Genomic DNA, 16,944 nt, shown 5'->3' with positions numbered 1-16,944 from the left:
CACGGACCTGCCGCTCCTCGGCCTGTATCCCGTACTCCTCGCGCATCCGCAGCAGCGCGTCCTCCAGCCGCGCGCGCAGCTGCTCCAACCCGAGCGCCTCGCGCCGCAGCGCCTCTGCCTCCTGCGCGCACAGCCGCGTCTCTTCCTCCGCCTGGAGTCTGCTCTCCTGGCCGCGCCGCAGCGCCTCCTCCAGCTCGCGCACCTCGTCCTCGTACAGCTGCACCGTCTCCCGCCACGACTCGGCCACCAGCAGTGCGTAGCTGTCGTGCACCTCCCGCAGGCGTGGCGGCGGCGCGGCGGGGCCGGTGGCGCGGGCGCGGAAATGCATGGTAAGGCTGGCGGCGCGCGCGCGCAGCTCCCTCACGTCGCGTTCGTGGGCCGCGTCGAGGCCTCGGCGCTCGGCCTGCAGCCGGCCCAGCAGCGCCTCGAGGGCGGCGCGCGCGCCCAGCGCCTCCTGCAGCTCGCGCTGCTGCGCACCCAGCTCGGCGTCCAGGCGGCCGCGGGCGGCGCGCTCCTCCGCATCCAGGCGCTGCAGCTCCCGCAGCTCGCGCCGCAGAGCGTCCCGCTCGCCCTCCGCCAGCGCAGTGGCCCAGCTCAGCTCGTCCAGCTGCTGCCGCAAGCTGCGCGCCTCCTCGGCGCAGCGGGCCTGCCCCTCGGCCCACAGGCCCTCTCGCCCGCGCCGGCCGCGCAGCTCCTCCTCCAGGAGTAGGTTTTCGCGCTCCAGCTCCCGCACCCGACACACGTAGTCATAGAGCCGGGCGTTGAGCTCCTGGAGCTCGGCCTTCTCGGGGCCCGTCTGCAGCCGCCAGGACAGCATCTTGCCGGGCGTGCGGGGTTCTCGCGGCTGGCCGGCTCCCTCCTGCCCTGGTCTTGTCCCGGTCTCGTCCTCTCCGCCGCGACGCTCCGGCCTCGCCGCTGCCCCGGAGGCCCGCAGACTGGGACGCGAGCGGGAGAGCCCAGGCACTTAGCGGACGGGGCGGGCAGACTGGGCGGGCGGCCTGGGCGAGGGCCGCGGCCTCCAGCCAATCAGAGCGCGGCCCGGCGCGGCCTCTGCGGCCGCACAGCGCCCCCTGCCGCACCTTGGCGGCCGCAGGTGGTCGGTGCGGGCAGTCGGGTAACAGCGGGCGGGGTGGCGGGCTAGCCAGGCCGGGCTCAGCGAAGGGACGCCGGAGAGGGCGTCCGGGAGCATACGAGTGTCCTGGCCTTGGTGGATGGAAATAGAAGCCTATTGAGTTGCTGTGGTGCTGGCGATTTTGGAGCGACTTCTTACCCGAGGCCCTGGAGATTGGTGGCTTTTCTATTTTTAAAAAAACGATATGGGCCGGGCGCGGTGGCTCAGGCCTATAATCCCAGCATTTTGGGAAGCCGAGGTGGGAGGCTCGCTTGAGCCCAGGAGTTCGAGACCAGCCTGAGCAACATAGAGAGACCCTGTCTCTACCAAAAAAAAAAAAAAAAAAAAAATATATATATATATATATATATATGGAGCCTGGCGTGGTGGTGTCACACGCGCTGCTTGGGAGGCTGAGGCGGGAGGATTACTCGAACCCAGGAGTTCAGGGCTGCAGTGAACCTGATTGTGGCACTGCGCTCCAGCCTGGGCAACAGAGAGAGGCCTCATCTCATATATATACATTACACATACATGTGCATTAATTTTTTTTTTTTTTTTTTTGAGACAGAGTGTCGCTCTTGTTGCCCAGGCTGGAGTGCAATGGCACGATCTCGGCTCACCACAGCCTCCGCCTCCCGGGTTCAAGCGATTCTCCTGCCTCAGCCTCCCGAGTAACCGGGATTACAGGCCAGCGCCACCACGCCTGGCTAATTTTTTTTTTTTTTTTTTTTTTTTTTTTTTGTATTTTTGGTAGAGACGGGGTTTCTCCATGTTGGTCAGGCTGGTCTCGAACTCACGACCTCAGGTGATCCGCCCACCTCGGCCTCCCAAAGTCCTGGGATTACTGGCGTGAGCTACCGTGCCCAGCCTAAATAATCTTTTTAACTTAAAACATAAATATATATCCATTTACCAGTATTTTAATGTGCAAAATACTTCTCTTGATGTCAGTTGACAGGAGTCCCAGTTGCCCTTCTTATACAAGCTACCCTCATAGTACATTACATTTTCCAAAACGAATTTCTTTCATTTGGAGTGAAAACTTAGAGACCATAAAGTGCTCCAAGTACAGAACTTTCTAGACATCTAACATCTCCCCGAACTTTTACAAATCTCACACACACACCCCTAATGTGACAGCTGTTTCTTTCCAGCATTTCCCTAAGAAAGTATTCAGTTTAATTGCCATGGAAACCACAGCTCTTTTTTGTACACTTGCATTTCATTAGTTTTCATGGCAGTTATTTATGAATGACAGTTCTCAGTATAAGTGTCATTAAGGCTCACAGGGACAAACCAGCTGACCCTTGGTTGGGGTGCCCTTGAACTTGTGGCAACACAAGTGCCCAGGGCGAGACCTGGACGGTCATCCACTGGCCAGAGGGCTCCTCATGGCAGGGCCAGCAGTTAGTGTATTTTACAGATGGCATGGAAAGGTGGACTACTCAGCAAGCTGGTCCAGGGCCTCTGACAAAGCTTCTAGTGCTCTCCTTGTCACAGCCATGAGCCTCCAATCACAAGCAAGGCAGAAAGTGGCCCTTCCTTTTTCTAGAGACCCTATGTTGGAGATCCCATTCTGTAGGTGGTAGAAATTAATATCTTTCAATGAATAATTCCCTGTCCTTTTCTGCTAAAACTAAGTGGGGGTGGAAAGTGGGTTTATTCAGTGCTTGGGTTCATTCACCTTGGTGTGGGACAGGGGGATTTGGACCCCCATCACCCCATCATTGTCCATCCTCCCATTCCCCCAGGTGCACACTGACACCTGGCCTTTGCTTGTCAAACACCAGAGCTGCTGTGGTGTCATCGCCCAAACCTATGTGGAGACCCTGCCGGTCCTGGGCCCCTCTGGGACATTGGGGTGCGGGGGGGCGGCTCTCACAGTTGCCTGGACTCCGCTGCAGCTGTTTGTTCTCAGCTCTTTGACTCCCCACGCTAACGGGTTCTGCTGTCCCACATCCCCTGGCTGGGCAGGGGGCAGCCCTGCAGGGTGGGAGAGCCTTCTCAGGGACCAGTGAGTCCCAGCAGGACACTTTGCAGTGACTCATTAGTCTTTCTTTGCCCAGTGCCCTTCAGGGTCTTGGACTTTGAAACTCAAAACCCTTTCCCCCATTTCTGCTGTAAATCCTGTCCCTGAGGAATTGACTGCTCCAGCATGCAGCTGCCCCGGTAGGGAAAGAGTTATAGGGGATCAGGAACTAGCAGGGCCGGGAGGTGGGAGGGGGGAAGTACCCCCAGCTACTCTTTCAGGATAATATCCTGCTGCTTCATACTGAATCCTCACAACACTGAAGCTCGGAGGGGTGAAGTGACTAGAAGTATTAGAGTTGTGACCACAAGAGCAGACTTGAGCAGGCAGGGTCTGGCCAGGAAGCAGAGGCAAACTCAGAGGGAAGGGAATGATTGATGGGATGGGGATGGATGGGATGAGGAAGCACCAGGGACCAGCAAGAGCAAGAAGCTAAGAAGCCGTTAGCGCCTTAGGGTGTTGGCTGAGCCTGGAGAAGCCCAGAGCGCTGGAAAAGAGGAGCAGAATGGATCCCAGGAGGGAGCAAGAGGAGGAAAACCCAGTTCTTCCTTCATCCAAGCCTCCCTTCTCTTGCCAATACTTCCCGCTGTGGAAGCCAGAAGTCACAGGAGCCTGGCAGTGGTGCACTGCGGTTGGCTCCCACAGGTTTGTGAGTGCCAACTGTTAAATTTTTAGAATTTTATGAACCACTTGTTAAACACAGCCATTATTAAAAATTAATTATAGAAGCTTACAACTAATTATACAAAAAGAGCAAACACATATTCAAAACGTATCACTTCCTCAGTATTTCACTGCATTTTCCTATGATCTGCTCTTGAAGTTATGAATGAGCAGTGTGCCTGCACCATAGAAATGCCATTTAATGTGTACTACCCTACTCCATATTCACTGACATCATGTTGGTAGCTTGAGTATTTACAACACAGAAATCAGCCAATGACTTGTTTTTGTGGATTTGATGTTTTGTTGATTGTCTAGCCTTTAAAAGCAGTGGAGAGTATGTTAATAGTGCAGATTAAATTTAGTGGTATGTTGTGTGTCTAGCTATTGAATTGTGAACAGCACAAAAACGTGAGGAAATGTTTGTCCGGTGTCTCGAAACTTGTATCCAGATCAGGAAAGAAGTTGCTTCATAGCTGGGCGTGGTGGCTTACACTCGTAATACCAAGACTTTGGGAGGCCAAGGCATGCAGAGCACTTGAGCTCAGGAGTTCGAGACCAGCCTGGACATGGCAAAACCCCCTCTCTACAAAAAATACAAAAATTAACTGGGCATGGTGGCATGCACCTGTAATCCCAGCTACTTGGGAGGCTGAAGTGAGAGGATTCCTTGAGCCCAGGAGATCGAGGTTTTGGTGAGCCATGATTGAGCCGTTGCACTCCAGCCTGGGTAGCAGAGTGAGATCCTGTCTTAACAAAATTTAAAAATACAAAAAAAATTTAAAAAGAAGTTACATCATGATGAAGAATAAATGAAATTTCTCAGTTATTTCACCTTTGTCTTTCTTGCTAAGGTAAACAAAAATATCAATCAATATTCATGGTGCTGCATTCATTTGTCAACTGTAATCATAAATGCACTAGGAACACCAGAGTTCTGCAAAAATCGATAAAACCATTCTGCCAGAATCAATTTGCTATTTGGAATTTATGATAAGGAGCAGTGTATACTTTATTATTTTTTGCAATAAAAATTTGAAAGCCACATTGCTAACATATTAACAACTATGCATTTCTATTAATAGCTTAATGGCAAAAATAAAAGTCCTGCAATCTTCACTTCTTATTGACATTTTTCTATTCAATAGAATATATATATATAGTCTTCCAGCTTAGATTACACAGGTGATATCTGGATAGATAGATCATGGGATTCAGTAAAACAGTTTTTACTTTGAATGAAAAAAAATGACCTGTAAATTTTTTTTTCTAGAATTGACCTAATACAAAACAAATTGCTCAGGACCCGGTAAGGCACTAGTGTATTTTTATCTTTTTAACCACAGCCCTCTTTCGCAGGCTGAACACCTTAGGGACCATCAACCCCCGGTGGTGTCGTTTCCAGTGAAAACCGAACTCCGGGATGTAGCCGGATTGGAGAGAAGCGAGTGACGCGTGCGCCCCCTTCCTGCGGCGGATGGATGAACGGTAGGAAGCTCGCGGTCGGCGGTGAAAACACCCGGCCGCTGGGGCAGCGCCGCCCAAGGAGGGTGGAAGGGCGCTGCTCCGGGATGGAGACCAGAGGGGCGGCTCTGGGGCCGCCTCGGGCGGGGGACCCCCTGAGCCTTCGCTTGAGCGGCGCCGTGGATCGGAAGCAGCGCGGGCCCGCAGCCACAATTTCACCAAAGTCCAAGAAGCAGGAGGCTGCGCGCGCCGGGGGCTGCAGCCTTTTCCATTAGCCCCTGCTCCGGGCTGGGGAAGCGGGAATAGCGAGTCTTTCCCGACTCGGAGGACCTGGCACGGTGTGGCCTGCGCTCCACGGGGCTCCCAGGCATGTGCAGTTATTGTGGGGTGGGGCGATTAATAGATCTGCTCTTCCCTCTCCCCCTACCCCAGCTCATTCCTTCTGCTCACTGCCTGAAGGGAAGCCTATGCCCTAGACGAAAAGAAAAGGCCTGACTGGTCTCCAAAATCCAAGATTTTAGGAACTCGGGGAAGACTTCTAGCTGGAAAAAAGTTGGGGAGAAAATCCTGAAGGAAGGCTGAGTAGCGTTGGGTTTCCGCAGAGGCAAGAAAATATTGAAGGAGGGGTGATGGAGTGGAATGGAAGCACAGCCCTGGGTCATAGTGAAGGGAGATTTGCACCCCTTCCTGGGCAGAGCCCCAGGAGACAGCAAAACCCCAGTTATGTTGTGGGATCCAAGCAACGATCCCACGGGCCCCTTGTGCCCTACTTCCCAGAGGTAGCCTTGGGGAAGTTGTGGGCCTGAGCGGAAGGGCCACAGCATGGCCCAGGATAGCCTTCCTCCATGCCCTCGCCCTGCACCCCATCTCCCCCAGCCTGAGTGAGGCCAGGGGCCTGAGCACCACCTGGAAGTGGCAGAGGACCGCAGACCTGTGGGAGCCACTCCACCAGCATGGGGCCACACCAGCAGGGCCACATCCGTCTCTAAGGTTCCTTTGTGCAAATTGGGAAAAGGCACCCTTTGTGGGAAGATGGATGAGCCCACTGGGTGCATGACCTGGTCCGTGGATGGTTCCTTGGTGCTAAGGAAGAGATGCCCTGCCTCAGGGTGGAGGCTGTCCTGCACCCACTTCCATAGCTCAGCAAGGACAGCACAGGTGGGATTTCAGTCCCACTGATCACCCCATCCGGATATGTTTGTGCAGTGAACAAGCTGGTTAACTATCCAAAGTGGTCCACTGTCCCAGCCTCTGCCTGTAGGGATGAAGATCTAGGGCTCTCTTGGAAGGCTAGTGGATGCCAGCACTGATGGGTGGCATGAGGACCAGGTGGGCCCCCCACCCTGGTGCCTTAGCACTGTGTAAGTCCTCAACAGTTCTGGTGCAATCTAGGGAAGGGGATCAGGTCTCTAACCCCTTGAATGGATGGGGATTGAGTTTTCATCACCCTGTGCTTATTCCCTGCCTCCCTAAGTTTGTGGACCGAGAGGCATGCTTGCCCCCGACAGGCTTGGCCAGGTAGGAAATGAAGCCAGTGGGAAAGGGAAGTGCGTCGAGCTGGCGGGAAGGGCTGGGCCAGGCACAGTGGTGTGGAGTGGACTGACCCACTTTGCATCCTGGCACTTAGTACCAGCATAAGCTTAGGCATGACAACCCCTCTGAGCCCACCTCCTTATCCATATAATAGTAATAATGAGAACAAAATAGACCTTCTTATAGAGGTGTTAGAAAGACTAAGCTTTCACGTCCATTGGCCTCAATGGAGAGCTTGTTAAAATGCAGATCCCTGGGCCCCACACACAGAGTTTCAGAGTCAGTAGCCTGGAGTGGGCTAAGCATTAGTCCATTCCCAGGTGAGGAAGATGCTGCCAGGCAAGGACCACAAGGAAACCTCCTGGCTCCCACCATCAGAGTTAGTCCTTGTATAGTCTTGCCACGCCAGGCACTGTTCTGAGCTCTTCATGTGGATGAACTCACAAGCAGTACAGCAGCCCGTGCAGCGGGTACCATCAGCTCGAGGTGAATGATGTGGAGGCTGAGCCACAGGGTGGTCAGCTTGCCCGAGCCCGTGCAAGTAAAAAGTGGCAGAACCAGGATTTGAACCCTTACCTTACCCACTTTGCCACACTGCCCGTTACGCTGTGTGAGACGTGTTGCACAAGACTTGGCACACCGCACTCAGCAAGTGCTGGTCATCTTCATGGGAGAGGTCCTGGAGCCCAGAATCACATGGAGCCCACCGGTCAGAGGTCTGTCTCCAGAAGGCCAGGGAGAGAGGCTGAAGAGTCAGGGCACAGATGCAGATGATGGCAGCTCCGCAGGGTCTGAGACCAGCTGGGTCTAGGGAGCAGGAGGACAGGGACGAGCTGGTCCTTGAGCCTCCCAGACTCAGTTTCCTCATCTGTAAAGTAAGGATAACCCCTCCCTCATAGGATCGCTACAAGGGATAAGTAAGATGAGAATGTAAAGGCCTCAGGACACAGCGTCTTCATGCTCCGTCTCACTCCAAAATCCGAATCCAGCCACTCTTGCTCAGAGCCCACAGTGTCCCCACTCTGTCACAGCTCTTCTGGCTATTTTGGGTGGGTAGATCATTTGTCACTGTTTCATAGGAGCACAGCAGGTGTTTGTTGGGGTATAGGCTGCCTTTTCAAAAGGTACAAAAATAGCATTTGTCACATAAAAAAAATGCAGTAATCTAAGCTGCACAACTTCCCTCTCTTAATTTGGAAAGTCATGTCATAATCATTACAAATGAACTTGGGAAGAGCCCCAAGTGACAAAGAAACATCCCCTGTTTAATCTTCCCAACAGGGACAAGACTTCTCACTTCCACTGAAGAACTAAAAAAAGAATAATTTGCCGTCAAAGAACAGCATATTTGCTCTCCCTGCCCTTAGAAGCACATTTTCTGTGGAGTTTGTTGGTGGTGTTCATGATAGGGTAACTCGAAAGCTAGTTTTTGAGTCCCCTCTGTGTGCCTGGTGCTGGGCTGGGCCCTGGGAACACAGAAAGGAGAAAGACACAGCCGTCTTCCTCATAGACCCGGGGCCTGGGGAGGCCAGAGAGCTTGGGGAAGTTCCTCTCTTCCCCCAACGCTGTCACAAGTGCCTGCTTCTCCCTAATTGCCACCCACCAGTCGTTTAGCCACTCACCTCTTCTCTATCTACCTGCTGCTGCTCCAATCCAATCTCATGGCTTTAAATACAGTAACATGCCAGTGATCCTCGGATGTGTCGCTGCAGCCCAGACTGCTGTTCTGACCCCGCTGTGTCTTGGGCAGGGCTCTGTGGATGACATGACCCCCATAGATCCCTACTCTAACACGGGGGCCATGGTGGTGCTATGGGTCCCTGGGTATCCGCATCAATTTGGACGCCACAGTAGGAACCAACCATCCTGAAAAGAAATGAGTGCTCGCGTCCTAACTGGCTGCAGTCGCTCTGGGGAAGGACCAAGGCTCTCACTTGCCATAGAGGTTGTCGGGTCCTTTCAGCCAGTGTGTTCTGGTGGCTCAGGGTCAGAAAACTGGATCATAACTTGGCTTAGAAGTGTTTTTGATTATATATATACTTGGGGATGTTTCTGCCGGCAGCCCATTTATCTTTCCCCTAGGAACACCGTGTTCTATGATTCACAGATCCCTCAGATCCCTGAGTCTGTAGAACCCTTAGTTCACTCCCCACCCCCATGGCCATTCCAACTTTGCAGCTCATAACAGTAATTATACTCACCTTTTTTATGAGACTTATGGGCTGCCATCCGCCCTCTGCTAGGCCTGTAGCCAGTGGCTCTCAAAGTCTAGTATCTGGATGAGCAACAGCAGCATCACCTGGGAACGTTTTAGAAATGTACACTCTCTAGCCCCGGCCCAGACCTGCGGATGAAACCTTGTGTGTTTTGACAAGCCTCCAGTTGATTTGAATGCATGCTAGTTTGAGAGCCACTGCTGCGTCTTCTCATGCCCACCAGAGAGGCCAGCTCTGTAACAGCGTCTCTTCTGTCAGTCCCTCCCCTCCAGAGGACAGGTACCACTCAGCTTCTCAGTGGGGTGGTGCCCCTCACCAGCTGCTTCCTTATCACTGTGATAGATGGAGGATCCTCCAGGCCGCCCAAGGAACGTAGCTAGCCTGGTGGGTTTTCTGGTCTTACGCCCACTTCTCTGATATTTGTTCCTTCCCTCCTGCATTGTGTGTCCTGGCATCTCTACTTCATTCATTTAATGTGTACTATCCCTTTCCCAGGCTTCCCAGGGCTACCCCAGCAGCACACTAGCAGCTGCCCAAGGCCCTTGCCAGGGAGTGAATCCTTGTCGCAGGACACTGCCCGCACACCAACAACTCTCTCATACTCCAGCCATATAGCCTTGACCCACAAGCCCACCTTGACCCAGCACCTTACAGACCACCTATCCTCCCATTCCCAGGCTTTCCGCTCCAGTCCCTGCTGACATGCATGAATCAGGTTGTGTAGCACCTTTGCTGTATAATTCCCCTCCTTCCTGAGCTGGCCCAGTACTTCCCAGCTGGGCTTGCTGAGGTTTGACGTTAGATACAGATCTGGTGGCCAGGAGAGAGGTGCTGGTGGACCATGAAGGGAAGGCATTGCCTTGTAAAGCCCCTGCCTAACATTTGTGGCCTCTGCGTAGTCTTCTGGCAGAAGTTGGTGGTTGGGGGCAGGGGCCTATATTCCTGAAAGGGGGAGTGGGTCACTTCTGCAGGGGAATCTGGAGATCCTTGGTTCTTACCTGCAGTCCCCAAATACCCCCATCCCAAGTCTCACAGTCCCACTCCTTTCCCTTCAGAGCCCTGGCTTTGACATTAGAGACTTGCCTAGAATGAGAACTCAGCCTCTCTTACAATTAGAAGCTGTGCCTGCTCTTCCATTCTCTTTGCCTTCTGCCTGCAGGGGGTGAGGGTCTCTTTAAAGGCAGCCAAGTAGGCCCTGTGACTCTCACAATTGGCTGTAAATCACTGAGCAACAGATCTGAGACTGACATTTTCTCTCTTAATGAGTTAGTGGCACTTAGCAAAAGTCACTTGATTTTACGGTCCTTCTATTACAGTTTCCTCCAAACCTCTCAAGAGCCCGTGGGATTTTACCCTTTCACCTGCCTCCGCTTCTGCTGTATCTTGTCCCAGTTCGTTAAGTGTGAAGGTCTCAGCAGCCACACCTCGACAGCATACCGGGAACTCTCAATACTCCTCTACCCATTAGCAATAAACAATCCAAAAATTCAGTTAATATTCATTTACTGTTTTTATTTTTGTGTAAATGGAACTTTAATTTAGAAGTTCCATCCATGGCTGGGTGTAGTGCCTCATGCCTGTAATCCCAGCACTTTGGGAGCCTGAGGTGGGCAGATCATTTGAGGTCAGGAGTTTGAGACTAGACTGGCCAACCTGGTGAAACCTCATCTCCACTAAAAATACAAAAAAAAAAAAAAAATAGCCAAAAATTAGCTGGGCGTGGTGGCAGGCGCCTATAATCCCAGCTACTAGGGAGGCTGAGGCAGAAGAATCACCTGAACCCGGGAGACGGAGCTTGCAGTGAGCTGAGATGGTGCCACTGCACTCCAGCCTGGGCGACAGAGCAAGACTCCATCTCAAAAAACAAAAAACAAACAAAAAAAGAAGTTTCATTCATAATATAAAAAAATTACTTAGGAATAAATTTAACAAAAGAAATTCAAGACTTGCACCCTGAAAATGACCAAACATTCTTAAGATACATTTTTAAAGAGACCTAAACTGATGGAAAGACAGCCTGTGTTCATGGATTAGAAGATTTACTATTGTTAAGATAGCAACACACATACATACACACACATACACACATGCACACACATGTAATCCGTGTCTACAGGCATGTCTATATTTATTTCTCTATGTATCTAGCTGGCTGTCCACACACAAGTTCATACTGATGCCTCCAACTCCCATCCACAAGGATTGTTCTAGCCTTCCTTCCCTTATTTCTCATTTGTAACTTCTTTCTCCAGCAGTGAGAAGCCTGGCTCTCATTACCTGTAGTATAGTTTTTTATTTGTTCACCCCTTGTGTATATGTAAAGTAGTTTCTCCATAGTCTTTTCAAAACCTAAATCGGATCAGTCCTTCGCTCAAAACCCTCCCGTGCCTCCCCATTTCTTTTAGAGTAAACCCAAAGCCCTGGACATCTGACCTACAAAGCCCTACGTGCTGTGGATCCTCAATACATATTGATCAACTCACCCCTCCTTCTGCTTCTGCCCTAGATTCGTTGGCCCCCCTTGTACATGACAGGCTAGGTGATGGAAGGGGACTGACTGAGAAGGGGAACAGGAACCTTCTTGGTAAAACAGAACTCTTCCACATCTTGACTTGCGTGGTGGTAACACAACTATACATTCTAGTTCCTTAAGCTGCACACTAAAAATTAGTAAATTTTGGCCGGGCGCGGTGGCTCACGCCTATAATCCCAACACTTTGGGAGGCCAAGGCAGGCGAATCACGAGGTCAGGAGATCGAGACCATCCTGGCTAACACGGGGAAACCCTGTCTCTACTAAAAATACAAAAAATTAGCCGGGCATGGTGGCGGGCGCCTGTAGTCCCAGCTACTTGGGAGGCTGAGGCAGGACAATGGTGTGAACCCGGGAGGCGGAGCTTGCAGTGAGCCAAGATCGTGCCACTGCACTCCAGCCTGGGTGACAGAGCAAGACTCCATCTCAAAAAAAAAATAGTAAATTTTAGTTACATATGCTACAATAAAGTTGATTTTTTTAAAGAGACGTTTATCTCGGCCAGGCGGGGTGGCTCACGGCTGTAATCTCAGCTCTTTGTGAGGCCAAGGCAGGTGGATCACCTGAGGTCCAGAGTTCAAGACCAGCCTGGCCAACATGGTGAAATGCCATCTCTACTAAATATAGAAATTAGCCAGGCATGGTGGCATGCACCTGTAATCCCAGCTACTTGGGAGGCTAAGATAGGAGAATTGCTTGAACCCAGGAGACGGAGGTTGCAGTGAGCCGAGATGGCACCACTTCACTCCAGACTGGGTGACAGAGCAAGACTCTATCTCGAAGGAAAAAAAAAAGAGACATTTATCCCAAGAAGTGCTATCTACAGTATCATTTGAAATGTTAGTTTTATGTTTCTAAAGTACTTTGAAGTACTTTGGGAGGCTGAGGCAGGAGGATCACTTGAGGCCAGGAGTTCAAGACCAGCCTGGGCAACATAGTGAGGCCTCATCTCTTACTAAACATAAAAAACTTGGCTAGGCGTGGTGGTGTGCCTGTAGTCCCAGCTACTCAGAAGGCTGAGGCAGGAGGATCGCTTGAGCCCAGGAGTTTGAAGATGCAGGGAGCTGTGATCACCACTGCACTCCAGCCTGGGTGACAAGCAAGACCCTGTTTCCAAAAATAAAATATTTAAAAAAAAATAAAGTAGATAAAACACAAACTGTTTTGTCAGTGACCACATCAAAAGGAAATACATTTTTCATTGCACACACATGCAAGCAACTGAAACAAAAATTCTACAAAGCATTACTTATCCCTCCAATGTTTTAATCTCCTTTTTAGTGCTGGATTGGTGCCACAAATTTAATATCATGACTCATTAATGGATCTTGCTTTATAATTTCAAAACCCTTCATTCAAATGATGCCGTCTACACGTTAGTCAATTACATGGGCCTGGCATTCATCAACACCTGTGGGTTTTCTTTTCTTTATTTTTTTTGAGACGGATCTCACCCTGTCGCCCAGCCCAGCCTGGAGTGCAGTGGCGTGATCTTGGCTCACTGCAGCCTCCACCTACCAGGTTCAAGCAATTATCTTGCCTCAGCCTCCTGAGAATCTGGGATTACAGGCGCCTGCCACCACACCCGGCTCATTTTTGTGTGATTAGTAGAGACGGGGTTTCACCAAGTTGGCCAGGCTGGTCCAGAACTCCTGACCTCAGGTGATCCGCCCACCTCAGCCTCCCAAAGTACGAGATTATAGGCATGAGCCGCCATACCCGGCCCACCTGTGGGCTTTCTAAATGTGGTGGACAATGAGTCTGATTGAACACATTTCTGTAATGGGCCTCCGCTGGCCACCCCTCCACTCCCACCTTCCTGAAGACTCCTGGCCTGTGGTTGGGGAAATGCTGCCCTCAACTCAAGCCCACCCTTTCTAACCTCTTACCACCTCCTCAATAGTAAATTTCCTACATCAACTCGCAAGCGGCTAAATCAGCAGGCAAGGATAATTTATGGACTCACAAACTACTTGAAATTGTTTTTGCACTGTATTGGGGGATTGTCTGGATGACGTCGATAGCTATGGTCAGGAAGCTGGTTTCAATTTCTCGATCACAAAGTGTCAGCATCATCAATAAAAATGTCAGTGGCAGCCAAGGCAACTGAAGTTCTTACAAAAGCTACCAAGGCCCTCCTTCCAGATAGCCCCGAAGTTTAGTCATCAGCAGCCAAAAGGGTAACTCAGAGCTGGAGCCTTTGATTAATACTGCCATAGTTGAAGCTCACAGAGTTAGATTTGGAGACATCGGGGTTAAATCGTGGACTCTCAGCCTAGCCCCACCCCATTCATCCCCATCTGCCTAAATCCATCTATACTTCAAGGCCCAACTCAGATGTTACCTCCTCCGCAAAGCCTGCCCTGAGGGTGGCGGTGGAAATCAGGCCTGCCTTTGAACTGTCAAGGGTGTTCAGTTGTAACTTTCTGATGAAGTGTGCTCCATTCTACTGGGTAATCTCATTCGGTATATCCCACTCCACACCACTCCTGTGACCTTGTGGTTAGGGACCATGATTGTATTCTTTATCCTGGAATCTCCATGCTGCCTAGTCCAGTTCTTGCTTTTGGTAAGCACTGAATGAGTAAAATATGTGGCTGCTAAATTGCAATGTTTTAAAATATAGAAAGTCTGGGTTCAAGTTCTGGTTTGGTGATTAACTTCTGGTGTGATGTTGGCCAACTCACTCAGAGGTTATAACTCTCGGACCTTAGCTTCCTTAGCTGTCATTAAGGGAACAAGATGCCACTATTTCTAAGATTCTGGGGTAGCCAGCCTCCAAGACAGTGCCCAGTGATCCCCATCTCCTGCCGTTACTTCGTCATTGTACCTAGGGTGGTTGGTATGTCACTTCTGATAGTGGATTATAAAAGGTACTATGGGCCAGGCGCAGTGGCTTATGCCTGTAATCTCAGCACTTTTGGGGGCCGAGGTGGGCAGATCAAGAGTTTGAGACCAGCCTGACCAACATGGTGAAATCCCGTCTCTGCTAAAAATACAAAAATCAGCTGGGCGTGGTGGTGCATGCCTGTAATCACAGCTACTCAGGAGGCTGAGGCAGGAGAATCACTTGAACCCAGGAGGCGAAGGTTGCAGTGAGCCGAGATTGTGGCACTGTACTCCAGCCTGGGTGACAGAGTGAGATTCCCTCTCAAAAAAAAAAAAGGTACTATGGCTTCCTTCTTGGTCATTCTCTCTCTGCTTTGGATCCCTCACTCTGGGAGAAGTTAGATGCCATGTCATTGGCACCCTTTGGAGATGTAGCCAGTGAGTAACTGAAGCCTCTGGCCCACAGCCTGTGAGGAACCAAGAGCTGCCAGCAACCATGCAAGTGAGCCTGGAAGTGGATTCACCAGCCCCAGCCAATCCCTGAGACAACTGCAGCTGTGGCCCAGCTTGACTGCAGCTCCATGTGAGAATCGGAGCCCAAGCAACCCAGCTAAGCCACTCTTGGATTCCAGACCCTCAGAAGCTGTGAGATAATAAATATTTGCTGATTTGAGGTCCTTTGTTACACAGCAATAGATAACTCATACAAATTGTTTCTGGCTCTAAAATTCTATAAGCGTGAAGTCCCTGAAATACAGCTATTGCATTCAGGAAAAGCCTGATTTACAGCAATTGTCAATCCTTCCCCTCCTGCCCCCAGCCAGAATCATAAAGAGATAATACAAAATATGTCAAAACATATTGTAGAATCACAATATTTATTTTATTTGTTTTTATAAGAGTTCCCAAAGCCTTGTTGATTTTGCTTCACTGAATCCTTTATTTAACAAATGAAGGTGGAAATCCAGATAAATTAGGTGATTGGAAGAATGCAAATGTGTTTCACTTTCACAACATTTGCAATTCCTCGGTGGTGAATGAAAATGAGGTACAGGCTTGCTTTGTTTCACTTCTGCCTCATCATGAGAAATGCATCTTGAGCGGTGGTAATACTTGCACATGTCTCCCCAGGCAGCCATGGGCCCGGGGAACTCTCAGGGGAGAAGAGTGAGTGCAGCTTGCTAAGTCACCTCCAGAAAAATAGCTGAAGGTTGGAAACAGACAGCTGGGCAATGGGGCTACCAGGTCAGACTGGATTAACAGAAGACTTTTGACAGGACAGGTGACAAGAAGTGATTTTCTGTTTAAAATGGAGACCATCCATGATAAACAGGGGGCTGGGAAGGAAATTAAGAGCATGGAGGGTGGGTTCAGGAGGCATGTGTCTTCTCTGGCTGTGGTTTGAGCCCTGGTGGTTCCCCCAGATGAAAACAAGCAGCTGATGGCCTCATCAGCTGATGACAAAGGCTGATGACAAGTGCAAGGATGAGTTTGGAAAGATGGTAAGAAGGGGCTGGAAGAGGAAAGAGAATGCTGAGGGTGATAAAGCACATTTGGAGGGCAAGGGTCTGTTCTGCCCACTATGGGTCTCTAGATTTGGTGTTCCATGGAAGAGACCCTCAACATAGGTTTGTTGAAAGGATGGGAGTGCATGTGAAAATGAAATTAGGAAAAGGGGCACGGTGGCTCACACCTGTAATCCCAGCACTTCGGGAGGCTGAGGCGGGCAGATCACCCGATGTCAGGAGTTTGAGACCAGCCTGGCCAACATGGCAAAACCCTGTCTCTACTGAAAATACAAAAATTAGCTGGGCGTGGTGGCGCATGCCTGTAATCCCAGCTGCCTGGGAGGCTGAGACAGGAGGATCACTTGAACCAGGGAGGCAGAGTTTGCAGTGAGCCGAGACCATGCCACTGTTCTGCAGCCTGGGTGACACAGTGAGACTACGTCTCAAAAAAAAAGAAAAGAAATTAGGAAAAATAAGAAAAGAGGTGTGGATGGGTGGGAGATGACTCTGGAAGATTAAAAGTGTGTTGCTCTGAAAGCATTTGCTTTATCAAATGGGCTTTTGTTGCAGTATTTTCTTATTTAAGTAATGTGGTCATTTAGATAAACCCCATCTTGAACTTAATAATTGCCTCTTGAATCAAAAAGATTGAAGCCGCCATGCCCATATTCCTGGCTACTCAGAAGGCTGAGGCAGGAGGATCACTTGGGCCCAGGAGTTCAAGGCCAGCCTGGGCAACATAGCAAGACCCCATCTCAAAAAAAAAAAAAAAGATCTAAATAGTCTTAACTGGTTGGGGAGCTTTGGACTTTTTGGTGTTGCTGTGGAATAAAGGAGAAGTATGGGTAAGAAACAAGATGTGTGAGGCTGGAGGGAAGAGGGAGAAGCTGATGGGATGCCCAGTCTGAGAGTCAAGTCTTTTACGGGACTTAAGACCAGAGAGTTCTTTTTTTATTATTATTGTTTTAGACAGAGTCTTGCTGTGTCACCAGGCTGGAGTGCAGTGGTGCAATCTCGGCTCACTGAAACCTTCACCTCCCAGGTTCAAGCAATTCT

General features: G+C 50.4%; 1 protein-coding gene and 1 long non-coding RNA gene across 4 annotated transcripts in view, besides 3 other annotated features; one reads left to right on the top strand and one right to left on the bottom strand.

Moving 5' to 3' along the window:
• Positions 1-937, bottom strand: part of SYNM (synemin) — a 36,688-nt gene extending 35,751 nt beyond the window's left edge. For all 3 annotated transcript variants that reach the window (XM_017022035.2, NM_145728.3, NM_015286.6), the window contains exon 1: positions 8-937. In XM_017022035.2, the coding sequence (XP_016877524.1) occupies positions 8-817 (810 nt within the window). In that variant the 5' untranslated portion in view covers positions 818-937. The remainder of the gene's footprint in view (positions 1-7) is intronic.
• On the top strand, positions 140-15,053 carry SYNM-AS1 (SYNM antisense RNA 1). The gene is made up of 3 exons (NR_187219.1): positions 140-329; positions 5,166-5,294; positions 14,847-15,053. It is a non-coding gene; the product is annotated as an SYNM antisense RNA 1 (long non-coding RNA).
• Positions 278-1,187: a silencer, noted in NCBI's record as "silent region_6864". NCBI's record gives its function as "represses an Ori minimal core promoter by ATAC-STARR-seq in GM12878 lymphoblastoid cells {active_cell/tissue: GM12878}" and the evidence as "EXISTENCE:reporter gene assay evidence [ECO:0000049][PMID:35858748]".
• Positions 5,031-5,837: an enhancer, noted in NCBI's record as "H3K4me1 hESC enhancer chr15:99640383-99641189 (GRCh37/hg19 assembly coordinates)". NCBI's record gives its function as "activates a minimal SCP1, AML or CMV promoter by ChIP-STARR-seq in naive H9 embryonic stem cells {active_cell/tissue: H9 hESC(naive)}" and the evidence as "EXISTENCE:reporter gene assay evidence [ECO:0000049][PMID:30033119]".
• Positions 15,327-15,416: an enhancer, noted in NCBI's record as "active region_10149". NCBI's record gives its function as "activates an Ori minimal core promoter by ATAC-STARR-seq in GM12878 lymphoblastoid cells {active_cell/tissue: GM12878}" and the evidence as "EXISTENCE:reporter gene assay evidence [ECO:0000049][PMID:35858748]".

The sequence above is a fragment of the Homo sapiens genome, chromosome 15 (genome assembly GCF_000001405.40).
Source record: "Homo sapiens chromosome 15, GRCh38.p14 Primary Assembly".
Lineage (NCBI taxonomy): Eukaryota > Metazoa > Chordata > Mammalia > Primates > Hominidae > Homo > Homo sapiens.
This window is presented reverse-complemented; position numbering and strand designations above follow the sequence as displayed.